The 27,230-nt window shown below is 37.9% G+C and overlaps 1 protein-coding gene across 4 annotated transcripts in view, besides 1 other annotated feature; it reads left to right on the top strand.

The window, feature by feature from the left end:
• SLC4A4 (solute carrier family 4 member 4) overlaps nucleotides 1–27,230 on the top strand; it is a 509,424-nt gene that overhangs the window by 124,792 nt on the left and 357,402 nt on the right. The window lies entirely within an intron of this gene.
• Nucleotides 8,415–8,967: an enhancer, noted in NCBI's record as "OCT4-NANOG hESC enhancer chr4:72061583-72062135 (GRCh37/hg19 assembly coordinates)". NCBI's record gives its function as "activates a minimal SCP1, AML or CMV promoter by ChIP-STARR-seq in primed H9 embryonic stem cells {active_cell/tissue: H9 hESC(primed)}" and the evidence as "EXISTENCE:reporter gene assay evidence [ECO:0000049][PMID:30033119]".

Genomic DNA, 27,230 nt, shown 5'->3' on the forward strand with positions numbered 1-27,230 from the left:
TCCAAGGCGGAGGCGGGCGCGGGCCCGGGGGCCGATTCCGTAGGGCGCGCAGGCGGCCTCAGCGCGCTCCTGGGAGGGAGAGAGAGGTCAATTGCGGGCCGGGCATCCCCTGAGCTGGGCGCGGGCGGTGTGTGGAGGCTGCTTCCGCGGAAAAGTATTTTTTTTCCTTCTTAGGGTTTAGAGGAAGAGTTTGGGTGGTCTGCTTCTCCCTCACTGCTAAGTCCCCTGCGCGCAACTGGGCGTCTTTACGAGGACTGCGGGGCCAGTTCTGCGGCGGGCTGGGCTCGGGCTCAGTGACACGTGTGTTGCTGTGAGCCTGGGTGGTCGCCCTGTGACCAGGCACCTGCTTGAGAGGAACACATCCCTAAACCCATCACAGGGGGAGATTTGGGGACTCTTGGTGCTACCGAGGCCGCGGCCCCCACTTCACTGCCAGCTCCAGGACGGAGCATTTACATCTCTCCCTGGCACGCCAAAGGCGGGGGGTGAGTCAGGCAGATTCTCTGCAAGTGGCACACACACATTTATTTGCAATGGATTTGGCTAGGGGAGGCATAGGTTAAACTGGAATTTCTCTTGGCCAGCGACAACGGAGCTCTCCCTCAGGTACTGGGCAGCATGTGAGTCTTGGCAAAGAGAGGTGATTTCTTTTTTCTTAAGTGCATTTTACTCAGCCGTTGCCAGTCCGTTAATAAGTCACCAGAGGAAGGCAGGACCTGGGAACTACATCAGCAAACCGCAGCAAGCACCATAAAGACAAAAGTTCTTATAGAACAAAAAGAAAAACTTGAACTTGACGTGAAAGATGGAGGAAGCAGTTCTACCTCTCTTCTATCACTTTTTTCAGCGCCCTGTAAAACTGTTTTTTTCTATCCTTCCTTCCCTCTCAAGGCCCTACCTTCTCAGCATAATTGATCGCAGCAAGCTCTTTCCAACTTGACACTGAAGAGCAGCGACCCCTTTGGCTTACCCTCCCCATTTCTTTTCCTGGTTCGCTTCAGTGCCCTGGAAAGTTGCTCCTAATGAGAAATCAAGAACACTGGGCTGTACTAAACGCTCATTGTCTCAAATCCTGCAGCAGTTCCTTTCCTAAGAGACACTGTGTTGTACTGTATTTCTCTTTTTTCTTGTATCTTGGGACTTGGAGTTGTAATACTACCTGAATTAAATTAATTAAAGTGTACATTGCTCATTTGGGCTTTTTTTTTTCATTGTGATTTCAGTAGATTCGTCAATGCCATTAGAACAATATTCAGTAGCTTTTTATAGCCAATGTGATGTCTTTTGAAAACGTTTCTGACTACAGCTCTCTTTCTTGTGTCTTTCATATTAGCATGTAAATAATTTACATGGTCATTTTAGTACTTAGACTGAAGATATTAGTATAACTTCATTCAAAGGAAGTGTGCCTGTTTATTTTTCTATAACTTTTATAGCTGAGAAAAAACTTTTACTTTCATTTTAAAGTTAAAAGTACTGATAGGATTCTGGTCTTTGTGGTAGATCTTGAAATTGAATGATTTGTTTTAACTGTATCCCACACTGTCAAGTAAGATGACAGAGAAACTCTCATATATGTAGATGGAGACAGGAAAGCAGTACCACTACATTATGAGCTGTTGAGGCAGAGAACATTTGTAGGAGTGGGGGTGACAAGGACAAGATGGGATATTTTGATAGTCCCAGCCATGTTAAAAAAACTGAAAACTAAGAAACCCCCAACATTTTGGATTTAAGTGTACTTCAGAATGAGGGTTTTGGTGCCATTTGCTCTTTTGGGGTCATTTCTGGAGACTTAAAAACATACATTAGACACCTTACCCAATGAGATTGACAGAATGTACTCTCAGTTTAGATTAATGTATTTCTTTTAGTTCACGTAGTCAATATTAAATAATTTTAGATGTTTGAATGTTAGTACTATGATTTCAGTCTTCTAAATGATTAAGAGACATTTTGGATTTACAAAAATGTTGTGTGAAAGAAATAAAGGCAATCAGATTTAGAGGAATAATGCGATAGAAATCGGGTAACCTTTGGGACAACTTCCAGTAGGCCCTGATGGTAATCTCATTTTTCGCTGAGTGCTGGCAGGTACAGTTTTGAGGTTCTGATCCCTTGTTCCGATAACAAGAGTGATATCTGGCCATAGCTTACATCTTAAAGGAAAAGACAACACTTAAAGAAATGCACACTAGCTGGTGAATCATGTAAATAAACAGGATTCCTTGCCTGCCTCTGTGAGCGCTGTAGACCTCATATGAGGACTGCTATTGTTAGAGGAGAAGCGTCCTGAGAGACTCTGCTGGACTTAAGTGTGGCGAGATACATATCTGTTTCTTGGAGTTTCTTTGTGTTTATTTAAAATAATATGAATGAAATCTAAGACCAGAGTTGATAGATAAGATTGGGAGTGGAAAGAACAAACTGAGAAGAGGAAAATCTAATGATGATTAACATTTCTAAGTGTTTTTTTCTTGATTGCTAAATGAAGGAATCAGAATGCATGATTTGATGGGACAAAGGAAGCTATAAGCAGAACATGGATCTCAGTTGATGCTGTTTCCAAGGACAACCTGTGACTTATGAAATTTATGTATTTTTAGGGAGTCATTTAGCAAAATGGATAAAGAACATCCAGGAAGCTAGTAAGACTTTACAAAACTGGATCTTACTACTTTTACATAATGTAGGAATCTTAGAGGAAAGGAGGAATAAAGTTTTATTTGAGGTCAGCTAAGTTGTATTCCAAATACATTTTGCCTTTCTCCCAATATATAAACTCTTGATACGTTTGGGTCACAAAAATGGAAAATATGCTGCTGTTCTTCTGACATGAAGATGATCTTTTTATCCTCAGTAGTGCACAGCTTTGGTTATTTTTCCAGCAATAGGGATGGAGTCTCCTTTACTCAGTTCTGTCTATGTATGTTTACACACACACACACACACACACACACACACACACACACACACACAGACACAACTCATTTGTAGAGGTGGCTGATTTAATTTTGTCGGAAGCCATATTAACTACTTTCGTAATACTTCTGTGGCAATGGCTTTTATTGCATTTGGTAGTCTCAGCAGTGCAATGACATTTCTAACAAGACATTGAAAATACAATGAGAGCCAGGTGCAGTGGTCCCAGATACTCTGGAGGCTGAGTTGGGAGGATCACTTAAGCATAGGAGTTCGAGGCTGTCATGTGCTCTAAAATTGTGCCCATAAAATTGCTATTAAATTGTGCCTGTGAATAGCTACTGCACCTCAGCCTGGGCAACATAGGGAGATCCTGTCTGTAAAAAATGAACAAGTGTATAAATGCTAATGGCTTTACTTGCTGTGGCAAAGGAGAGATAAAACTTTTTCTTCCAATCTTCCTAATGATGCCAATAATTTTATTCCTTAATGATAATGTCTTACTTGATGCTGAATATAGACGGTTCCAGACTTATGATGTTCCAGTTAAAATTTTTCAGAATTACAATGGTGTGAAAGCATTCACATTCAGTAGGATCTATACTTCGAGTACTGGTAACAACATTCTGTTTTTCACTTTCAGTACAGTATTCAATTAATTACATGAGCTATCCAATAGTTTATTTGTAAAATAGGTTAGGCTTTGTGTTAGATGATTTTGCCTAGTAGGCGAATGTAAATATTCTGAACACATTTAAGGTAGGTTAGGCTAAGCTATGATGTTTGGTAGGTTAGGTGTATTAGACACATTTTTGACTTGCAATATTTTCAATTTATGATGGGCTTATCAGGACATAACCCACCGTACATTTAGGAGCCTCTGTACTGGAAAAAGATAGTGGTAGAAACAGTAATGTTGAAACTATGTGCCTCTGTAGTTGTTTGTGTAAACCAAAACATCATCTTGTTCTTCTTTCCTGAAAACTAAGTAAATATAAGGGATTGTTATGCTTATTGAGATGAAGAGGAAACTATGACAGAGAACTCTGTATGCTTTTCTTAAACTTAACTACAAATTATTGGTGGAGGTAGGAATAAGTATTTTAATCTTTTGACTGGTGATACATGTTTGTCGAATGACTGTCAATGAATGGGTGAATGTCCTTTTAGTCACAGCAGAAGATACTAAAGCAGATAAAAGTTTATCCTGTTTTAAAGTGATGGTTTCCATTTTCTGTTGGTAATTCTGCTCAGTAGCAGTGCCCACTTGCCGCAACTTTATTTCAGTTTCTGCAATCCAGGGAGTATTTCATGAGAGAAGAATTTTCAGTTTGGGTGTACCAGTTTTAGCTACCATCTTGAGAGCTAACTTTTGTTTTTCATGTAGAATGAACATAGAAAGAAATTAAGTGAAATTAGGATGTTAAAGGAAATAAATAACCACCAACTGATATTTTGGAGTTTTGTATTTTTACTTTGTGGATAGTTGTGTGGAAAAGGTATACTCCTTGACTTGAATTTAACTCGAATTTCTGTATTAGAAACCTTAAGAAAGTTGTAAATAAAACTCCTAGTATGCTTTTTTGGGGATTAAAAAAATCAATATGAATAAAAATACAAAATGAGAAAGGAGTATGTTATGTTTAACACCGCTGTAATATTCTATGGGTGACACAACTAGAAAAATCTCTTAATATATTGAAGACGTCTTCTTATTTAAGAGGAAATTGGTGATTTCTTTTTTTAAAGTATATTCACTGATTAATATTCTTCTTAATACTATTTGCAAGTAAGTAAACTTGTGGGATATGGACTTCTATGTTAGTTAATTCTAGCTTTGGCCTGGAGATCTGATATTCACTGATAAGATCTAGTAACAACTTCATCTATTTGGAACTCCTACATTTGTCATGTTCCCCAGCAAAAAAGTCTCTGAGCAGGCAAAATAGAGGGTAAAAAAGTAAATACATTAAAAAGAATTCACTTTACTCCTAGGACATCCCTCAGAGTCAGTTTACTTTTAATACCCATACTGTTCTATGATTGATTATAAAGTTTTTAATCCCATAGCAAACAGTAAACTACAAAGTAGAAGACGAAAATGGGCTTTATTGGCAAATACATAGAAAACATTGAAAAGTGCCTGAAAACAGCGTGGTAGTAAAGGAAGAGGTAGACAGAAGTAAGAACTAAAGCAAACACAGTGGTTGAGGACTATTTAGATTTGGACTCTTATAGCATCACTTCATTACACCCCCTTCTCCCTCCCCCACTTTCTCAGCTCTTCCTTATTTTCCCCTCCCCTCTTCCTTCTGTTAAGTTTTTATTGAAATACATATGGTCAGAAAATTGTATGTCATCATACCATCAGTGGACATCTCAGCGATTTACCTAAGTGAACATGTCCATATAACCAGTGCCAAGACCAAAATATAGACCATTGCTGGCATCCGGAAGTCTCCTCTAACTCCCTCTTCAAGTCATTACTTCCCACCAAGGTAACCACTCTCCTAATTTCTGAGATAATGGTTACTTTCACCTCTCATTGAACTTTCTGTCAGTTAATTACACGGTGTGTATTCTTGTGTGTGACTTCTTTTGCTCAACATTATGTTGTGAGATTCTTTCTTGTTTTGTGTGAAGCATCAGTTTATTCTCATTGCTACATAGTGTTCCACTTTAGAAGAACGCCACAGTACATTTATCCATTTTGTTCTTGATTTACTAATTTTGTTTGGGTTGTTTCCAGTTTTTGGCCATTATGAATAGTGATGCTATGAGCATTCTTACGTATGTCTTTTGGTGAACATGTCGCCCTGTCTGTCGCCCAGGCTGGAGTGCGGTGGCCGGATCTCGGCTCACTGCAAGCTCCGCCTCCCAGGTTCACGCCATTCTCCTGCCTCAGCCTCCCGAGTAGCTGGGACTACAGGTGCCCGCCACCACGTCCGGCTAATTTTTTGTATTTTTAGTAGAGACAGGGTTTCACCGTGTTAGCCAGGATGGTCTCGATCTCCTGACCTCGTGATCCGCCCGCCTTGGCCTCCCAAAGTGCTGAGATTACAGGCGTGAGCCACCGCGCCCGGCCCATGTGGGAATTTCAGTTGTGTGTTTTCCCAGTTTAATTGATGGGACGGTTTTAGTAGATAGTGCCTTCCTTCAGAATTGGTGCTAATTCACATTCCTACCAGCATTGTGTGAGAGTATCATCTACCCCACATCCTTACAAAAGGGGTTTTGTATGTCTTTTTTTTAAAACCATTCTATCGGATGTATAGTTGTATCACAGTGTAGTTTTAATTTGCATTTCTCAGAGTACCTTGTCTATCTTTTCATATGATTATTGTCTACACTTTTTCGTAAAGTACTTGTTCATGTTTTTTGCTCCTGAAGTTTTTATCCAGTATCTTTTCCCAAGTAACGAAGATTTTAATACTTGGGGAGTTCAGTTCTTTTATTTGTTTAGAAGACTCAGCTAACCAGGCAAACTCATTCACCAATGCTTCCACCTGATAAGTAAACTCATGGGATAAAGAGATTACAAACATTTTGAACTTGTAAAGATGATAGTCTGGATCTTCGAAACTTTATCCCTAAAAAATAAAAAACCCAAACCAAAACAATATTAAATAACTTTAATACAGTACTCAGAAACATGCAGAACTTGTCCTCAATGCTTTACATAAAAGTAGAGCATCTTGTAATGTTGTATTGCCCAATGACCAATGGAGATTTGTATTTGGAAGGTATGAATTGAACATCTAGCTCTCTTACTTATTAGTTGTTTTGAGAATTTAAAAAACATCCGTGTCTTTTTTCATTATTAAAATAATTATAAAACCTCATTCACAGAGGAGTTATGAGGAACAGATAAAGTGATCTTTATGAAATCTTGTTCAGCACTGTAAATGGCCATACATGTTAGTTATTATTATTGTTATTGTATTCTTCAACATTCCTTATTCTTGAGTTGAATTATGCCAGCACTGAGAACAGTTCCTGGCATATTAATAAATGTTTGTTGGCTGAATGAATGAACACATTTAAGTATCTTTCTTAAACCGTTACTCTGAGTGACTCAAGCTGTGCTTTATATATTTTTTTTCTCTAGGACTTTTACTTTTTATTGCTGAAGCTGAGTTGGAACCAAGGTTCATCAAGCATCATATTGAAAAATTGAGTCTAAGAGCCAGCAGTTTGAGATCACCCATTTCTATATAGTTCATATTGAATTTATGCCTCCAAGTAACACACACGACTTGGAGAACCCTTGAAAATGATTACACTGCTCTTCACTCCATGAGTGATCCCCAAAGCTTACACATTGAATATTTTTAGCTTCTATAATTAGAATGGCCACAAATTTCCAGATTTAAAATATTACAGTGGGTTCTCCAGTGCTAATACTTTGGAAACCATGTTTTGTGTAAAATTGAACATTCAAGGATGAAGAATAGCTGAAAACTGGAGCTTTTATAGTACCTTTTCAGCTTAATATAAATAAGGTGTTTCACAGATATGTTGATTATAATATGAAAGCAAACAACATACACCTTATATACATTTGTGTAAAGCAACAATTCTTAACCCTTTGATAGGTCTGATTTTCAGCTTTGGCTTGATGTTGTGACTATTCAAAAAGTGGTTTGGAGGCATATCATTTTTATTTTTAAATTAAATAGAATTAAAATGTGTATGATTTTTGTTTTGGGGAATTACATGATCTTCCTTTAAATAACAGTAGGTATCCCTTTGAAAAATCAGGCTTGCAGCAGAAGAAACTTGGATTTCTATATAGAAATCTAGTTAGATTTTCTTACCCAAAGACTGATGTTCTTTTCCTTTTTTCCTGTATTTGAGTTTTTTTTTTTTTTTTTTTTTTTTTAAAGAGCTTATGGGGGTCTTGGGTGTTTGCTGCCATCATTTAAGTATAGCTGTTCTGTGGTACTCAGAATACTGAGCATGTAACATTTTACTTCAGAATAACATAAGTCAGTCTACATTTTATAAGGACGTTTACATATTAGGTAGTATACCTTGTGTGCTTGACGCAAATGTGGCCAATTTAGGGTGATTTAGTGGAAAATGGAATCATCTGGTATAGTAAACAGCTTTTGTTTTCTGTTACAGACATAATGTTAGGAAAATTGAAATAAATACAAGGGGTAGTTATGGTGAACCCTGTTAAACTACTGTTTTAAAAACAGTGAATTTCAGAAAAATCTCATCTGTTCTGAGTGATTTCATTCCTTTGAGAAGTTAAACTGGCTCTTTTTAAAACAAATGCATCCAGGCGTGCCTGGTTATTGCTTTATTTAAAGCTGGAAGCAAGGCTCCTTTCGGTTCTTACTTGACACATGGGATTTAAAAAACAAGGGTATACTATGGATTTAGGGAAGGATACCTGTTTAACAAATAGGATTATGACAATTAAACTATCTAAACTGAACTCCAAAGGGAATGGGATTAGCTCTTCCATTTCTTGTGCCCTTCAGCATGGAAATCTGTTGGCCTTATTGAAATATTCCTAATGTCTCTAATACAAACCAGGTTTTTGCACCTTCTACCCCAGAAGGATCAGGAATGAAGTCCTGAAAGTGATATTTGGTGAAATATGTTTTGTTCTGAGTGAGTAATCAGTGGGACCATCAGTTAGGCTGAAAGTTTCATGGAATCTTGAGTGTTGATGGCTGCACTCCTGAAACTCTCTCCTTGAGTACTGTGTGACCACAGCTGCAGTGAGACATCACAGTTGAACTGCTTCACAAATTCCTTCAATTCCTTTGACCTCTGGAGACTCTGTCCTTAGGAATGTGAGATGAGCACTCACGATGTTAGCAGCGAGTAGGGCCTCATGGTAGGGACTTTGCTAAAGTACTAATTACAGTTGCTTTGGAAAATGGCAGAGCATTAACGATTAAGCAGAGACACGCAGCTCACACATTTGCACTTTCACAGGTTGAGCTCCTTTGCCAGGGAAAAGGGAGAAGGCGGATAGGAAATGTCTCAAAAGATTTAGATAAACTAGATTAGATAATTTCTCTTGAAAAATATATTAAGAAATGAAATAAAAACACCACTCCAAAAGCATCAAAAGAAAATATAGTTCAAACACTTACCTATTTTTATTGCCAAAACCTTAGGCAGTGAATTCTGCAGTTGAATTGATCACTTTATTGTTTTCTGCTTTGCACTGCCCTTTAATTGTTTCATATGTGTTCATGTTGTCTACACAGTATACTTTCCCATGGTCCTCACGGTGGCCAGAAAATGCTTATTTAATGGAGGGATACTTAGTATTTTTAAAATGTGTACTGGCTGGGTGCGGTGGCTAACTCCTATAGTCCCAGCTACTTGGGAGGCTGAGGCAGGAGAATCGCTGGAACCTGGGAGGCAGAGGCTGCAGTGAGCCGAGATTGCACCACTCTACTCCAGCCTGGGTGACAGAGCAAGACTCTGTCTCCAAAAAAAAAAAAAAAAAAAAAAAAAAAAAAAAAAAAAAAATGCAGACAGACCAGAGATGCCAAATTATCTTATCCAACTTTATTTAAACTGTATTTCTGGCTGGGCACGGTGGCTCACGCATATAATCCCAGCACTTTGGGAGGCCGAGGTGGGCGGATTGTTTGAGGTCAGGAGTTCAAGACCAATCTGAACAACATGGCGAAACCCCATCTCTACTAAAAATACAAAAATTACCCAGGCATGGTGGTGGGCACCTGTAATCCCAGCTACTTGGGAGGCTAAGACAGGAGAATTGCTTGAACCTGGTAGGTGGGGGTTGCAGTGAGGTGAGGTCGCACCACTGCACTCCAGCCTGGGCGACAGAGCGAGATTCCGTCTCAAAAAAACAAAAACAAAACTGTATTTCTTCTGGAGATATTCCTCCAATGCAGTAGCTGTGATCATTGCTATTAGGCTTTTTACATACTTTTTGTGAAATTCATTGTAATGAAGTTTGGAACCCATATCTTTGGGGATGAGTCTTTGTTATTATGGTTTGTGATATGTTATAGTTTCTTGGAAAAATTAATTAACTTATTTTGATATGACTGTATTTGATCTGTTCTTTGAGTTGGATAAATTTTACTTATTGATTATTTGAGATTAAAAATGAATTGTTAGCAGTTTTATAAATAACTTTTTGTTTTTAAACACAGGCTCACTAGAAGTTGCAAAAATACAGTGCAGAGAGTTTTTCTGTATGCTTTACTTAGCTTCCCCCAATGAACACCACTTTAAAGATGCCTAAAAAGGCCTTTACCTAATGGGTGCAGCACACCAACATGGCACATGTATACATATGTAACAAACCTGCATGTTGTGCACATGTACCCTAGAACTTAAAGTATAATAATAAAAAAAAGATTTATAAGGAATAGCAATTTTTATACTTGCTCTGAAGAAATATGTATTTATTAATCACTGATTATATGTATAACCACAGATTATAAAAAATAGAATTAGAGACACCTACTAACTCTCTATTTTGGGGGGTTGTGGGTTTCCGTTGGAAAAGGTGCTCATGTGGCAGGCAAGAAGGAAGAGTCATTCATTCACTTATTTATTCATATCTCTGTGAATTTGGTGTTTGCCTCATTCAAATCATTTAAAAAATATTTATCATATTGATTACATTGAACTAAGAGTTTGAAGTCCAAATGTTGTTCCTATAAAATCTTTGGAAAATAGAATGCAAATAAAAGTGAATGAGAGTAGAACTTCTTTATGGTACAGGTATTAGGGCAGCATGATAACACTGGATTTTATGTAAAGGTGAGAGAATATCATTGTTCTATACATCTCTGTTAGGTGCATGTCATTACCTTACAATATATGTGAAAGCACAATATATTGAGACGTTTTAGAACAGATGTTTCATTTATTACATATGCATAATATTTCCAGTGAAATCTCAGTGTTTCACTACTCCTTAATATATTGATAAATATTACACTTGAACATGCATTTGAGTTCAATTATCTCTTAATAGGAATATTTAAGTGCTATATTTCTATGTTTGTCCATGTATCTGAACTTTATGCAGTCTTGTCTAGAATATTCCTTTGAGGGTTTGGTCTTGCACCTCAGGGCAGATGTAACTGGGAAGGGTCTAGAGAAACACGCTGCATATCATGAGAATGGAGGAGTTTCTTTAAGAGAACACACAGAAAGTTATTTGAATGCTTAGGGTCTTGAACAATGAAGTGTAAAGTCTGAAAGGAGACCTCACCAAAGCCTGTAATGGTCATGAACACTTACCCCAAATCCAAGAATATCAGAACTAGGAGCACCACATATAAGAGAGAAATAGGCTGGGTGCCTCATGCCTGTAATCCTTGTGCTTTAGGAGGCTGAGGCAGGAGGATTGCTTGAGGCCAGGAGTTTGAGACCAGCCTGGGCAGCATAGTGAGACCCTGTCTCTACAAAATAAAAAATAATAAAAAAATACATAACTGAGAGAAGTAGGTTTAGCTTAAATTTTTAAAAAGTTTAAGTTTATACAGTGGGTATTTATGTGAGCAGATGTTTTTACCACAAGAGGAGAAACTGGATACTCTAACAGGAGAAGGTCCAGAGCAAATCACTGGGTGGATTAAGTATTTATACAATTTAAAAGAGAAGATGGACATTTGGTAAATAGACCTAATCTTTTGGGTGGTTATTCTCTCTTTACTCAAGACTTTACCCAGGATTATCCTCTTTTCACAGAACTTTCTTCAAGTCACTTATCATTTTGTAGAATAATTTCCTGTTCTTTGATGTCGTCAGGTGTCACTGAAAGTTGGTCTAGAGGATTGTGGGTCTGACCGCACATGACAGTTCCTATAAAGTTTACTGGCCTCAGCATGTCTTATCTCAGCTCTTGACCTTGACTGGAAGGCACTAGTGTAAATGCATTGTTACATTTGAGGTTATAAAATAAGCACTTAGACTTCCTTATACAATTTCTATGAAACAAGTCCACACCTTGCTACTGATAACATGAAATTGGATGTTATTTCTGAATTGAAACCAACATTTTTGGTTTGGGGTTTATCTGGTATAATCTCACTACTCTGAAAAAGTTTACTTTTCCAAATAAATGCAATATATTTTATTTTGGGTGAGTTTAAAAATCATCATCTTGGATAGCTTTTTTAAATGTAATACTGTGTATGCAAATTAAAGAGCCTGGAAAGTCTGGTGCCATGTATTCCTGTTTGGCCTACAGCTTTTAGCTTGTGTGATAGATGGATTCTGCCACATGGGCTTGAACAACACAGTGTCCTTTTTTTATTTTTATTTTTATTTTTTGAGACGGAGTCTTGCTTTGTTGCCCAGGCTGGAGTGCAGTGGCGCAATCTCGGCTCACTGCAACCTCCAACCTCCTAGGTTCAGGTAGTTCTCCTGCTTCAGCCTCCTGAGTAGCTGGGACTACAGGAGCGCACCACCATGCCTGGCTATGTTTTGAATTTTTAGTAGAGATGGAGTTTCACCATGTTGGCCAGGCTGGTCTCGAACCCCTGACCTCAGGTGATCCACCTGCCTCAGCTTCCCAAAGTGCTGGGATTACAGGCGTGAACCACTGTGTCCAGCCCACGAGTCTTTTATATAAAAACCAGAACAGCAGGAAAAAGCAGGTTAGAGCATGTGGCCCAGGCTGCTACTTGAGTTGACAGCTGATGGAATAAATTCTTAGTTCTGTAGAGAAAGTGAGGATTTAGTCCTTAGGTGATTGTCTGGGGATGTGGGATCTGACAGAACCCCTATGGCTTGGGGAGCAGGGGTGGGATGATGTGAAAGCCTTAGTAGGTACTATGCAGGGTCTGTGGAATCAAGGAAGAGGAAATCATATTTTGAGGAGGCTGATTGTGAGAAACTGTGAACCTGTCTGCTTAAATTACAAGAGTGGCCTGTTTATCTGCTGTCAATAGAGTATGAAGTAGTCATTTTAATTGAATTTTCTGATAATTGAAGCTTATTAATTGTCTAAAATTATCTTAAGATATTTTCTGATGTACATCATTTTAAAATGAGTTGCACACATTTCTATTCTGTTTCAACATATTCAATATAATTTTCGCTCTTGTTCATCTGTTGGTATTCATTATATAATTCAGACGTGGTCTCAGGTCTGGAGACATGTGAAGTTATTGCTCCTACACTGAGTGTTTCCATGTCATTATGCCTTAATCCTTATTTAGACACAGCTATGACACCCTCTTTACAACATAAAGGATAAGCAAAAGGATGTATAAATGTATCCTGGGCTGGAAAGTGGCATTATTGACTGGCCATTGGCCATCAGCAAAGGGGCCTGAGTGGAAGGATATGAAAGGATGGGTGTAATGTAGATGACGGGTTGATGGGTGCAGCAAACCACCATGGCAGGTGTATACCTATCTAACAAACCTGCAGGTTCTACACATGTGTCCCAGAACTTAAAGTATAGTTAAAAAAAAAAAAGGATGAGTGGTGAGCACAGCTGACACACCCCACGAATATCTGGGGGGCTTTGAGAAGGTTGCTGAGATCCAGTAATCATGTGGCAAGTTTCAGTTATTTTTATTGAGACCTCTTGGCTCAATAGGCTGTTGAGGTCGTTGGAAACTCCCATCAAAGTTGTTTTCCAAATCCTCCATGACTGTCAGGGTTTCCCTGTGCGAGTTAAGAGCATGAGCTCTGGAGCCAGAGAGCCCAGGCTTGAATCCTGTCTCTACCATTGTCTTAGGCTGAGTTCCCTGTGAAACAGTTTGTGAGATTGTGCAAGAAGTTTACTGGGACTTGTACTGAGGGACACTACCTGTTGGGGAGTTAAGGAAGTTGGACTGGGAAGAGGGAGGAGCTGAAGAGCAAGACAGTAACAGAGGCCTCAGCTGAACCCATCAGGAGCTCTGGAGCTGGGGAGAGAGATCCTTTAGAGTTGCCCCCAGATAAGGAAGCTAGGCCTCTTTATCCCACAACAACTGGTCATGATATATGGGCTGCCTCTGGAGAGGGGTGTGACCTTGGGTCAGACGGCTCTCTTTGGCTAAGGTAATTTCTAGAACAAGGTTGAGCTGAGCGTCATCAATGAACACTCCACCAGCTGGGGAAGCACCTCTGTTCTGCAGGGGAGATCTGGGCTGCACAGCACAGCACCAAAGACTTCGTGCCTTATGACGGGGGACTCTGTGCTTCCAAGTTCTTTATCCCAACCTTCTTTAATTCCTAGAGTTTAAGTAAGTTAATGAATGTGAAATGCCTAGAAAAATGCATAGCACATAGTCAGTATGGTTTAGGTGTTCGTTATTATGATCATACCTGACTTTATCAGCCCTACCTCTATTATAGTGTGGTTCTTCTAATATGCTGTGAGTCTGAAAGCTGTTAATACTCTCCTTATTTTTTTAAATTTTCTTTGCAAGAGGAAAACATCTGACAATATTTTAGTAAGAAATGATTTAACATATAATGTGTTTTTGTACCATTTGTGTTTTTAATTTTTACCAGAAGAAAGATGCAAAAGAAGTGATTACTGATGATGACATTTGAAGGATTTGGACATATGGTGGATAAAAGTTTTAGGAGTATGTGTGTATTAGTTGTTGGCCTCCCTCAAAGTAACTTAGATAAGCAATCTCTGAGTTAACAGAGAGTTCACTGCTGTTGAGTTGGAGACTGGTGTGATAAGAGCAGTTCATAACCAGGGGATAGTGTCCAGCTGAGAAGCTCCTCGAAGTGTTGGTCTTCAACTATCCCATCACTGTAGGCCTAGATATAAACATTAGAACATATAACCAATACATATAGCATTGACAGTTAAATTGCTTTATTTCTTAAACATTTCAGAATCATTCATTTCCGTATTTAAATTCCATAAATATAGAGCAAATCACCTGGAATGTTTTAGAAATTTGGTTTTGATTCAAAGTAATGTTCTCATGGAGATGCAGTCTCTGCCAATTCATTTCTCATTCACTTTAGGACATGGCTAATTCCCTTGGACAGTTTTTATCTCCTTCATATTCAAATGGGTGGAAAACATTTTATCTGAAATGACTCACCCTTCCCCCACCTCCTCAAATATGGCAACTATGTTGTATTGTTTATTTTTAAGGGACTATCTAATTGCACCGTTAACATTAAAGCAGAGAGTTAAAAATGTATGCCACAAAACACTCTTTTAAAATATCAAGTGTGAACATGTCTTCTGTTTGTACCAGTAATCCATTATTTGTATACCCTAATAAAGCCAGCGGAGTGGAGGAGGAAATAATACAACACCTTCTTTGAAAATTTTTTTTAAAAAAGAGGGCTTCCTTGAATCCATTTTCCTCCCCAGTTTTAATTTAAATTGCTCGTACTTATTCTCCATTTCTTTTAAAGAAATGAGATTGTTAGAAATGAACCATGGAAAGTAATTTATCTACATATTTATTATATGATGATCTGTAGAAAATGAGGATTACATGGAATACACAGTAATCATCAAGCTGTCAACAAGAAATTTTGTTTTAGCTTAACTTTCTTAGACATTAACCTTGTTTCTGAGTTGAGCAATCTGTTGTGGGTTCTATGCAGAATTCCATGGTTACTTTTGTTATGTGAGCCAAGAACCTAATGGAAATCTTCTCACTTCAGCAACCAGCTAACGTTTTTTTTCCTATTGAGACTAAGAATATATAACACATTTAAGATTTTAGTTCCACATTTTGGCGGAGGGTGGTGTTTGGGAAGAGTGAATATGGATAAAAGATTTGAGGTAGACTACTAGATGTGTAAAAATGTATTAATGTTTATATATGATGAGTGGTAACAATGTATTGCATAACAAGTCCTTTCTCCTTTTAGAAAGATGACTTTTAAAACTGTGTATTTAGGGGATTAAAATACATAAACCCTCTTTTTAGAGAAACATTGTTGAGCTTGATTTAATGGGAAACAACTCTATATCCAAGAAGATAATGCTAGTGTAGCTTTTAATTCTCAAAAACCTGAAATTATGACATTGGTATAGATGATCTTTCACTGCGTAAGAGATAGTGAAGTAAAAATAATATTTTGGACAAAATTATGTATTGTGTCCAAAATGGGTGTAGGTGAAATTTCTACTCTTGTATATTTAATCCGAAGCCAGCCACAGTTACTGTGTGATGACTTTGCAGAGGGTCCTGCTCATGACTCCCAATTTAAAAACCACTTAATGCCCTCTTTTTTGTTAGCATGCATGTAGGTAGGTTTTTATGTGGATTTTAGTTATACCTTGGCGAAAAACATGCATTTCTCAATCTTGGGCCATTGACCTAAGTTTTTTAAATGAATAAATGCAAACCAGAACATATTGTAAGAAGGAAAATCTGTTGATCCAAAACACTTGTTTATTTAAATAGAATGGCTTATTACTTTCATTTAGAGTATAAAGGTTAATCAAGTCTTGGGATTGTTCATCTAAATATGTAAATGTAATGCGGTCAGGGACACCTGAATAAATGTTTGCTTAAATGATAACTAGTTAGTAGAAGTATATTAAACTAGATTTTAATCACTCACAAAGTTTTACATGTGACATGTTTAGTAAACTCACTGTTTATTATGTAATTTAAGTAAAAGGCAGAAGAGGAAAGATACCTAATAAGCGAAACACTGTAAATTCCAGAAAAGCCATGTTATTAGAATTTATATTTTCTCTGAAAACCAAGTAGTTTTTCACCCACAGGTCACTCAAAGGTTTATCAAAAGGAGAGGAAGATTCCATGCGGTGTTGGCTATTTGATCTAATGGTCTAAATGAAATGGAAAAAGAAAACATGTCCTTATGCTAATGGTTCAGTTTCCAACAATAAACCTGGTGGGTTCACTTTAAGTGTGGTTTCCTGAAAATTGATGATGATTTTTAGCACTTAGCTTCTTATCTTCAAAGCACTTTCCAAATGTTAAATAATTAATTGCCACAACCCCCATGTGGGCGTAGAATAGCAAGCATGTCTTTCTGTTTACCAGGAAGCCATTATGACAGAGTCTGGAAATGTTGATTTTTATTTTTAGAGGTGTCTTTGCTTTCCAAGGTGACCAGCATTTTAAATGATGTCCTGGTTTCCAATCACAGGGTCATGGGAAAAGTTACCAAGGATGTTGAGTACTTGAAAACTTTTTATTCTTCTTGTTTCCATACAGGTTTCACTTTTCATCTTACTTTTGCCTGTTCATCATTTTGCAATACTATTTTTTAAAATGGAATATTAAATATTAGCAAGTTTAGTCTTTGCTATTAGTATAGTCTCTTTGTAACTAGTAAATACAGCATGCAGAAAACCTGGTGGAACTAGGAGGGATAAAGATAACTTTAAGTGGAAAAAAAATCACATTTCAAAAACAACTTTAATATATTAAAGAAATGAATCATTTTAAACAATAGTTTTTCTAGTCTAACTTAACCTTGGAGCCTGAGGAATAATGAATATAGACCATGTATATGTCTAACAGTGTATAGTTGCACTGTATGACATATATTGAGGATGAACTTATATAAAACAACTAGAGAACAAGAAAGACAATGAGAGAGGCTAATGTAGACAAAATAAATATGGAATAAGATGGCTAACACTGGGGTTAACACGTACATCTTAACACTGGATTTAACGCATACATCCTGAGGAGACTGAGGTCATGGGTGATGGTGTGACAGGACCTTTAGGAAGGAGGTGGGTTAGAATTTACAAGGTAGGTGGTGACTGTCCTAGCAGACAATACCTACATTAGCCAGACTAATTCCCAGCTTGTTTGTGTTGCCAGCGTCAGAATATCTACTGATTAGCTCTCTGGAGAGATGCAGGATGGAGTCACTGTGGCAGATGCAGAAGGCTCCCCATCCCTCAGCTTCTCAACCTTTGAAATAGAAAAGAGCCAGGACCTTACTTTGAGAGCAGTCAATCCCTTTATGCTTTGAGAAACCCACCAGATAACAAAGAGAATGCTATGGTGATTATTTCTGATGAATGTTGTTTCTTTGCATACGATTAACATCTTTAAAGGCAGAGCAGAGTTAGATTTCTTCCATGTCATTTTAAGGAGGTAAGGCCCCCCCATCCCCCAAATCAGAAGTGTCAGCTAAACACTTGTCTATTGAATGCAGGTATATCTTCTTCATCATGAAGTTTGAGACCCACAGCTGGGCTTCAGAGAAACCCCTCGATATTGTTGTATACAGAATTTGTATATATATTTATTTTTTTCTGGAGAAGTATGTCCAGCATATTTATGACATTACTGAAACTGGGGCATACACACAAATATTTAATATTTAATACTGACTAGGTTCCCTTATGGACCACAAAACAAAAGGTCAGTTTCTAGCTATTGACTCCTCCAAAATTTGAATGAAAATAAAATGAGAGCCTGTCAGCTGCAAGACATCACCTCCAAAAAATCTAATGTTTTTCTCTTATCAGAAAGATCAGAAAGTGCAATGATGCAGTCAAAACCAGTGAACATGGCTATTTAACTACAGTACATTAAATTTGGAAAGGTAATGATCAAGATTATTTTATCTACCATCAGTCATGGGACTTTCTTACTATCAGATCTAGAGAGGGTATGCCCATAAGGATAAGGCAACTTTAATTGTGCATTTGTAATTTAGCTCACATTCAAACATGAGTGCTTTGATAGCCTTTTTGTGGGAAATTGCTCATTGACTATGTCGTAGAACGCATTTGGGAAGTAGGATAATTCTTTGCCTCTCTATAGTTCTTTCCATAAGCAAAGTAGTTATTTTCCTGTAAGTTTGTATACTAATTTAATCTTTGTTAATAAGACCACATTTTCTGTGAAATTTTGCAAATAAGATCATGATTATAACTCATTAGGGGAAGGCTGATATTTAAAGGAGTATTGGAATATAAGAGAATCATTAAATATGGAAAACAAGACCAAAAGACTAGGGTATTTTAATTGAAGTTCATTGTTGGTCTTTGAGGTGTGAGTGTTCAATAATCTCATGAAACTATAGCCACATTTAAATTATATATTCATATATCCATTTTATTTTTAGGTTACAATTCACAGTTTTCAACAGATTTCCAAAAGGCTCATGGCCCCCCAAAATGTTAAGAATTATTGGCTTATAATGTCAGAATTTTATAAGTGCTTATCTAGGAAGAAGCCTTCCATAATTTTGAGAATTTTGCTCAACTTCAGTAATTTGAAAACAGGTCATTGATAAAGAATAAAATAGTACAATACAGTGGAGTTCAAAACTGTTTAGTTCTGAGTATAATGCTTTATGAATATATATTAGACTTGACAAATGTGTAAGAAGATAAGCAAGAAAGATCAAACTGTTAACTCCGAATTATAACTGAGGGCCTGGGGCTGAATATATGGGTTGAAATCTGTCAATAATCTGTGAATCTCATTAAAACCAGTAGTTGGAACCATTTCACTGATGAAATTCACATTCATTTTGATTATTATTATTATTATTATTATTATTTTAGAAGGAGAGGTTTCCGACCCTAGTGATTGGTTTGGGGTTTCATTTCCTCTACTATAATCATCTACTGCAAGCGAATCATGCAGTGGTTAAGTATTCAGCCTCTGGAATCAGCTTGGACGATCATATTACTTTGCTACTATGACTGTGGTCTTGGGGAATTCACTTGACATCCATGTGCTCCTCTTCTGTAAAATAAGCATAATGGTACTAGTAATCTTATAAGGTTGTAATGGAAAATCAAATACTGTAGTGTATATTGAGAACAGTACCACCTGTCTCAACTGAATAATTTTAATTTTGTCATCATTTCTGAAGTGATGCCTGCTCATAAGATAGATAAGATACTGGCAGCTGAAAGGACAATAAGAAGAAATGAGGTGTTGGCTCTATTCCAAACACTATGGTCCCTTGAATAAATGAGAATTGACGATTTGTTTTATTGACACTAGTCTGAAGTCTCCTGGAAATGTTTCATCTGCTTTAGTATGTCTAGACAGATGGTCTTCCTGCATAGAATATTTCTATGTTTATTAATTCAGAATTAGAACAATTTAAAAATCTGTAAGCATGTGTGAGGATAAATTTATAGCATGTGCTTCCATATCCTTAAAGCAAAGTATATCTATAGGTGCAAATTACTGTTGATCTTAACAACTATGATTTCCCAACATTTGGTGGGTATTTAACTTTCACTTGTTTACAAAAAAACTAAATGAAGTCACTTGACTATGAAATACACTTTAAAATATTGAAATCAGATAGCCTTAGATGATAATTTTTCTGCAGTGGTAAAGGAAGTATTGGAAGTGATGCAAAATTTGCTACTTCACATTCTCCATCAATTACTTCATGGTTTTTCAAGTTAATTTGTATTTCTAAGAACTGCATGAAGGCTTATTTTCTTTGTGTAGAAAAATATTAATGCTTGAATTCTGTTTTTTCCTCTTTATTTTCATTTGAGTTTAGGAAATTTTTGGAAGGCTTTCCTCCTTTTTCTTCGGGGAGACAGGGGCTCATTCCATTGCCCAGGTTGGAGTGCAGTAGTGCAATCATAGCTCACTGCAGTCTGCACGTCTTAGGCTCACGTGATCCTCCCACCTCAGCCTCCTGAGTAGCTGGGACTATAGGCACGTGCTACCTTGCCCAGCTAATTTTAGTTTTTATAGAGACAGGGTCTTGCTTGTTGCCCAGGCTGGTCTCAAACTTCTGGGCTCAAGCCATCCCTCTGCCTTGGCCTCCCAAAGTGCTGGGATTACAGATCTGAGCCACTGTGCCTGGCTGCTCTCCTCCTTTGACAAATTATAATAATATAACAATGTTGGCTGGGCGTGGTGGCTCATGCCTATAATCCCAGCACTTTGGGAGGCCGAGGCAGGCGGATCACGAGGTCAGGAGATGGAGACCATCCTGGCTAACATGGTGAAACCCCATCTCTACTAAAAATACAAAAAAATTTGCCGGGTGTGGTGGCGGGCACCTGTAGTCCCAGCTACTCAGGAGGCTGAGGCAGGAGAATGGTGTGAACCCGGGAGGCGGAGCTTGCAGTGAGCTGAGATCGCACCACTGCACTCCAGCCTGGGCGACAGGGTGAGACTCCGTCTCAAAAAAAAAAAAAATATATATATATATAATAAAACAATGTTACTATTACAGGTATCCAGATATATTATTGGCTAATCATTATCTGTAAAATGAAAAAATAATTGGAAATAAAATGTGGTATTACACAATTTATCACATTATATTAAAAGGGGCCTACATTAGAATGTGTAGAAGCAAGCCTTTTTTTTTGGTATTAAAATCTCATAATCTCATTTAATGATTTATTAATTATGGTTTTCTTTCCCATTACGGCCTTTTCTTTTATTGTTGTCATCTGGACTCTTCTATTTTAAATCACCTTTCTTTTTATGATTGTATGAAAAACAAGTTAACCTAGTTAAGTTGGGTTCTAAGATGCCTGAATCAGTGTCCCACACCATTTATACCATCTCTTGAGGACATTAGATGATATTCACGTGACCCTCACTTGAGTGTAATTCTTGAGCCAGGACCAAAGGTTTGACATGAGATGAATATTTCTCAGTTTTTTTTTCCTTGAGTTTCCAGACTTGAAATTGGCTAGCAATCAGCTGGAATATTTGGTTATAGAGACAAATTTGGTTACGCTAGAAACCTGATCTTTAGAATGGCTTTATGCTCTTTATGCAATGCTGAAAGTCTTCAGAAAGTTTGTGTCAAATTTTCTTGCCTTTGTAGTTTATTCTGCATGATCAGAATAAGTGTGGCATAAGTTACTTTATATGACAAGGGCACATATTTTTTCCCCCCATGCTCAATATAATATGCAAATCAAAAGGACCCTCATACTATCTGTGCTATTGGCTACAGTGTATTATGTCTAACTTTTGAAATGAACAGTGGCATTTTTATTTCATAGTCATCTATTGAGCACTCTGTTAGGATCTTGGAAAAAAGAAGCAGCAGGGCACATTCCTCCCTAATGTGTAACAGTCTACTGGGGGAGACAGGGCAGACACATTTAGAAACAGAATTCTACAAGGATGTTGCAAGAACAGGGTCAAGTGAAGGGTGTCTGAGGTTCACAGGTGCTGAGGCTTGAAACCTTTCTTTTCTTCTTCTTTTGAATACAACACTTAGATCACATTGTTGCAGCTAATAAAGATGTATCATAAAATATGAGTACCAGTAGCTACCTGTAATGCATTTTGGAGATTTTCATTTTATTGTATCTTTCTTCAGAAAATTATGAGCATTTCAATCTGTTAGTACTCTGCAGTTGCATATCAATTGGACTCAAATTGCTCAATCTCTGATTTTCAGACCTATTTATTTTTTTCCTTCCTGATTATTGTGAGAAATACTTCCTGAGTATTGTGAGAAATACCTTTAAAACCTAGGTTTTAAAGGTAGCTGACTTTGCTATTGTGGTGAGTTATGCTTAAAAATTGGAAAAATAAATTATGATGTATTTTTGGATTAACTATTATTTACAGTTTTCAGGAGATTTTAGCACTGTATTTTATTTCATCATTATTATTTTTATTTGGTTGTATGTTATTTGGAGGGACTGTTCCAGTGCTTTTTGTGGTCTAACCATGAAAGTCTCTGAGAATTGAACATTTATACACTTTTCCGGAGAACGCTGTGACCATGTTTATCTCTTTTTTCCTTTTGCTTTTCACCTTAGTTGCCTGTCTTTTGAAGCCTGCCATGCTGGCAATGATATCACATATTTCTGGTGCTTTTTGTAACTACCAGTGTGGACACCAATGGGGTGCCCATCTGAGTAGCCCTGGGTGTCGCCCTGAGCTCACCTGCATGTTGGCCTGAGCACTGCTGGTATTGTAGGGATAGTCAATGATTGCTTCCTTTGGGCAAGCAGGAGCTGCAACCCCCTGTGTAATTTTCTAGGCAGTAAGCAAGGGTGTGTTTACCATTATCCTTCTTGGCTGTTTAATAGCCATTATCTAATTTAAGGAGAAATCACAGCATCTATGCAATCTGTCAAAAAACATGATGACTTAAACATACTTAATGTATTTCTAGAACCAAAGTAACAGTTGCCAGAAATGTTGAAGAAAGTAAATGTCTTCTCTGAGAAACTTTAGTTTGTGGGCAATGCATTGTATGTGTTAAAATGCATAATCTTTGGTAATTTTTCAGGAAACATTTTCTTATCGGTTATTTCTCACAAAATAACATGTTATTTGTGATTTCTCTTTCTCCATCTGTCCTTCCATTCCCCACACTTACCCCAAGGAAAATCTTAGGGAAATTAACACAACTAAGGAGAAGGCTTTCTTCTTGTTACTGGGAACACTGTGTAAACAAAATGATCAGAAGAATCTCTTTTAAATCTTGAAAAAGTATATTTGTTGGAGGTTGAAGCTATGTTGTTATGTTTATATATTTTTCTACCTCAGTAGTCTGTAATCTCCTGAATGAAGTGTCTGTATCTTATTCATTTTTTATGTCATCAGTCTCTAGCATGGACTGATGCAGAGTAGGTACTCAATAAGAAGTTGTCCAGGAGAGCTGAACTGGAGGCATGCAGCTGCAGTTATAAAGATGAAAAGTGATAGAGAAAAAATATTTGCTACTCAGAATTTCCAAAGAATTGTCTGAAAAATGTGAAAAGACTTCGAGCCAAAATATGACAAAGAAAACTCGCATTCAGAATGTTTTTCTTTGTAATTTGTCTTGGCAACATTTATTCCTTTGCACAGATCCATGTGGTTGTTAGATTGCTTTCAAATAATATCGTTGTATGACAGGGTGACTGCATATACTTTTACCACAAAATACCTTCACAAAACAGTTTATCTTTTTATAATTACCTTTTGTCTTTTCCTTTACTTACTCCTACAGATTTTAGGCTTTTGGCAGATTCAGAAAAGATTTATCTTTTATTTGCTTTTAACAATATAAAGACATAGTGATTCTCCTATGATTCTGTATTCTGTAAATTTAGGTCTGTCATCACCATACTTTATTTAACATAGAGAATTTTTTATATATTACCTGTGAAACTCCAAATAATTTGCAAAATTAAGATATCAAAATGGTATATGATAGCTCACACCATGAGGTTGTTTTTACCAGGAGGTAGAAGGATACTTTGGGTCTGTAACACAAACTACTAACAATAAATTTCTGTCCATCCTAATTGCGAATATACCAGTTTTTAGGAGTGACCTCAATGTTGCTGCACTCTGAAGTTTTAAAAATGTGGGTATGTTTAACAGCTCCCCAATGAATCTGAGCAAAAACCTGAAGTGTTGGAGCTCTGCCCTAATTTGGTGGACAGATTTTTCACAAATCTTTATTGCTAAGAAGATGGAACATTTGACAATTTAAAGTCATGTCCCCCATAAGTTGAGAGTAAACACATTAGTAATAGTGTCACTTGAATTTATCTGTTTTTTTTTTTTTTTTTTTTGTGTGTGAACAGCTTATAATGCTTTATGGAGCTTATCAAAGCCACATGGTGATGACTGTCAGGCCTGGAGTTGTGCAAAAATGAACTTTGGCTCTTGCAGCGAAGGAAAATTAGACGCTAAAAACCAGGGATTTTTTTTAGAATTACCTAAGACAGGGTTTGTAAGATTTACAACCAAATTCACGGATGTGATGATTGCAGTGCTCCCTCACCAAGGAAGCCAGCCAACTGTGAGGATGTCTCACTGGTTGTGTGTGAAGACAACTAAGATGCCATCTAAGAAAATCTAACCTTCCAGCCTTGGCTTGTACAAGTGTGTCTGCCCTCAAAGAGTCATTCCAGCTTTCTGTCTTCTGTCTGAAAGAATAATTTAGGTCTAATTTTAAAATTGTCTAATTTTCCCCTAAAATTTTGAGTTCTTTATCTCTATTGTTACTATTCTGGGGTTTGGAACCCTCTGGCTTTTTCTCTAATGGGCTGTTCACTGAGCTTAGGTTTCTCACTTGGTTAGATTCGGGGTTAGTTTTAATGTAGTCACCATCCTGTGTTGAATCCTCAGGATCAGGAATGGATCTAGGCAGAATTATGTCTGACTGGGAGAGTAGCCAGGAAGAGGCCCAGGCCTCTGGAGCTGGGCAGAAGGTGGGGGTTGCCCTTGCTGGGAGCAGAGGGTGAATACCAGTGCTGACCTGCTGTCAGAGGGGCTCACCAGAAATGAGAAAAACCAGATGGTCACTAAGACCAGAGTTGGAATCCACAGGACAGAGGCACAATGGGGTTGGAGAACCATGGGATATGAAAGTGTGAGGGGAAGGTTGAGACTAGATGAATGAGATGAGGTGGGCCATATTCCACAATGGCAATGACATTTCCTGTGTGCACGCGTTTGTGTGTGTGCACGTGTGTGTGTGAATAGGGTAGCAGGTTTAGTTTTGGGTAGGCCAGGTCACATTAAATAAACTGGCATGGGATAGGTACTAGGGAGCTGAGCAGAGTGATTACCATGAGGCTAAAGCTCCTCTGTTGCTGGGGGAAAGTGTCCAAAGGTGAGAGAAGTAAATACAGTCATTCCTTGCATAACGATGTTTTGGTCAATGATGGGCCACATATATGACAGCAGTCCCATAAATTTATATTATTGTATTTTTACTGTACATTTTCTATGTTTAGATACACAAGTACTTACTATTGTATTATAATTGCCTACAGTATTCAGTACAGTCATGTGCTGTATGGGTTTGTAGATTAGGAGCAATAGGTTATACCACATAGCCTAGGTGTGTAAGAGGCTGTACCATCTAGGTTTGTGTGAGAACCTCTCTGATGTTCACACAATGACAAAATTGACAAACGATGCATTTCTTGGAATGTTTCCTGTCATTTACCAATGCATGACTGCATAAGACCTGATGATAACTCAGAATTCTGTATTTTCCTGCATACAGGGTGTTGCTGATTTGCATCTGTTTGTCCCTTCCTTTATTGTCATTACTAGAAATAATGCTGGATTTTACCTCATAAAGTATTGGCTCATGAGTGCCACTCTTGACATGTTACAAGGAGCTGGTAAAGCAGACATAGAGAAGCCTCTGTTCTTATTTTTGAGACTAAAACACAAGAAAGCTCTGCTTTCAGGCTGGTGGGCTTGAAAGCAGGGGACTCTTTTGTCACCACACAATTTGATCTTACTGGAGTACTGAGTTTTCATGGCATACTAATTGCTCTTTATTAAGAGTCATTTCTGTGGCTGTCATTATGATTGTGCACCTTGATGTATATTGATAGAGTAAAAGATGAAAAGGTGAGAAGAAAATCTCCCTGATATGGACTGAATGTCTGTATCCACCCTGACCCCCACCCAGAGTCATAAGTTGAAGCCCTAATTTCCAGTACGATGATATTTGGAAGTAAGACCTTTGGGAGGTAATTAGGTTATGAGGGTGGAGCCCTCATCAATGGGATTAGTGCCCCTGTAAGAAGAGACATGCGAGAGATGATCTCTTTTTGGCCATGGGAGGACATGGTAAGAAGGTGGCCTTCTGCAAGCCAGAAAGGAAGGTCTCACCAGGAACGGAATCAGCTAGCACCTGGATCTTGGACGTCCAAGTCTTCAGAATTGTGAGAAATAAATGTCTGTTCTTTAAGCCACCCAGTCTATGATGTTGTGTTATAGCAGCCTGAGCTGACAAGACACTCCCTGTTCTCTACACCCTACGTAGGCTGCTCCCTTGCAATATTTTTATGCTTGTTCAGTTGGCCACTTAGCATCCCAATCATTTTTCTTGACATGGCCCCCAGGTACCCAGATGTACTGGGGTTTTGTGTGGAGAACTGAACTGTGCACAGGCTACACCTTTGGCATGAACTGATCCTGTACCGAGGGGTATAGAAGTGCTCCCAGCTGTGGCCTCCTAACTTGGTTTACACAGCCCCGTATACAACACTTCAGAAGTGTGTCATCCTCAGCCTAGGATGACGCTGGCTAATGGCCCTGTAGGGAGGGAAGAGGTTTGAAAGGGAATGATAATTAAAGCAACTTCAGTTACATTGTGGATTTTCTAGGATTTCCAGGTACATGTTAGCATTTCCTGATCAAGAAAGTTGGTGATCTCAATTCTGTTTTCCATAAACGCATCATCATGGCAAAGGCTGATGGGGCAGAGAGACAGGATATATGACCCTTGTATATAACCCAGAAGTCAGGGATGTGGTCCCGCCACCACTCGTACCCTATCCTACGTACATAAAACTGTCCCATATCTTTACTCTTGCGGGCTTTTGATTTTGTTTTGTTGAGTTCTGTGTTTATTTTTTGCTGTGTACTTAAATTGATTCAATAAGGCACATGATCTGAGCAAAAAAAGAAAGTTGGTGAAATAATAGATTTATT

The sequence above is a fragment of the Homo sapiens genome, chromosome 4 (assembly GCF_000001405.40).
Source record: "Homo sapiens chromosome 4, GRCh38.p14 Primary Assembly".
NCBI lineage: Eukaryota > Metazoa > Chordata > Mammalia > Primates > Hominidae > Homo > Homo sapiens.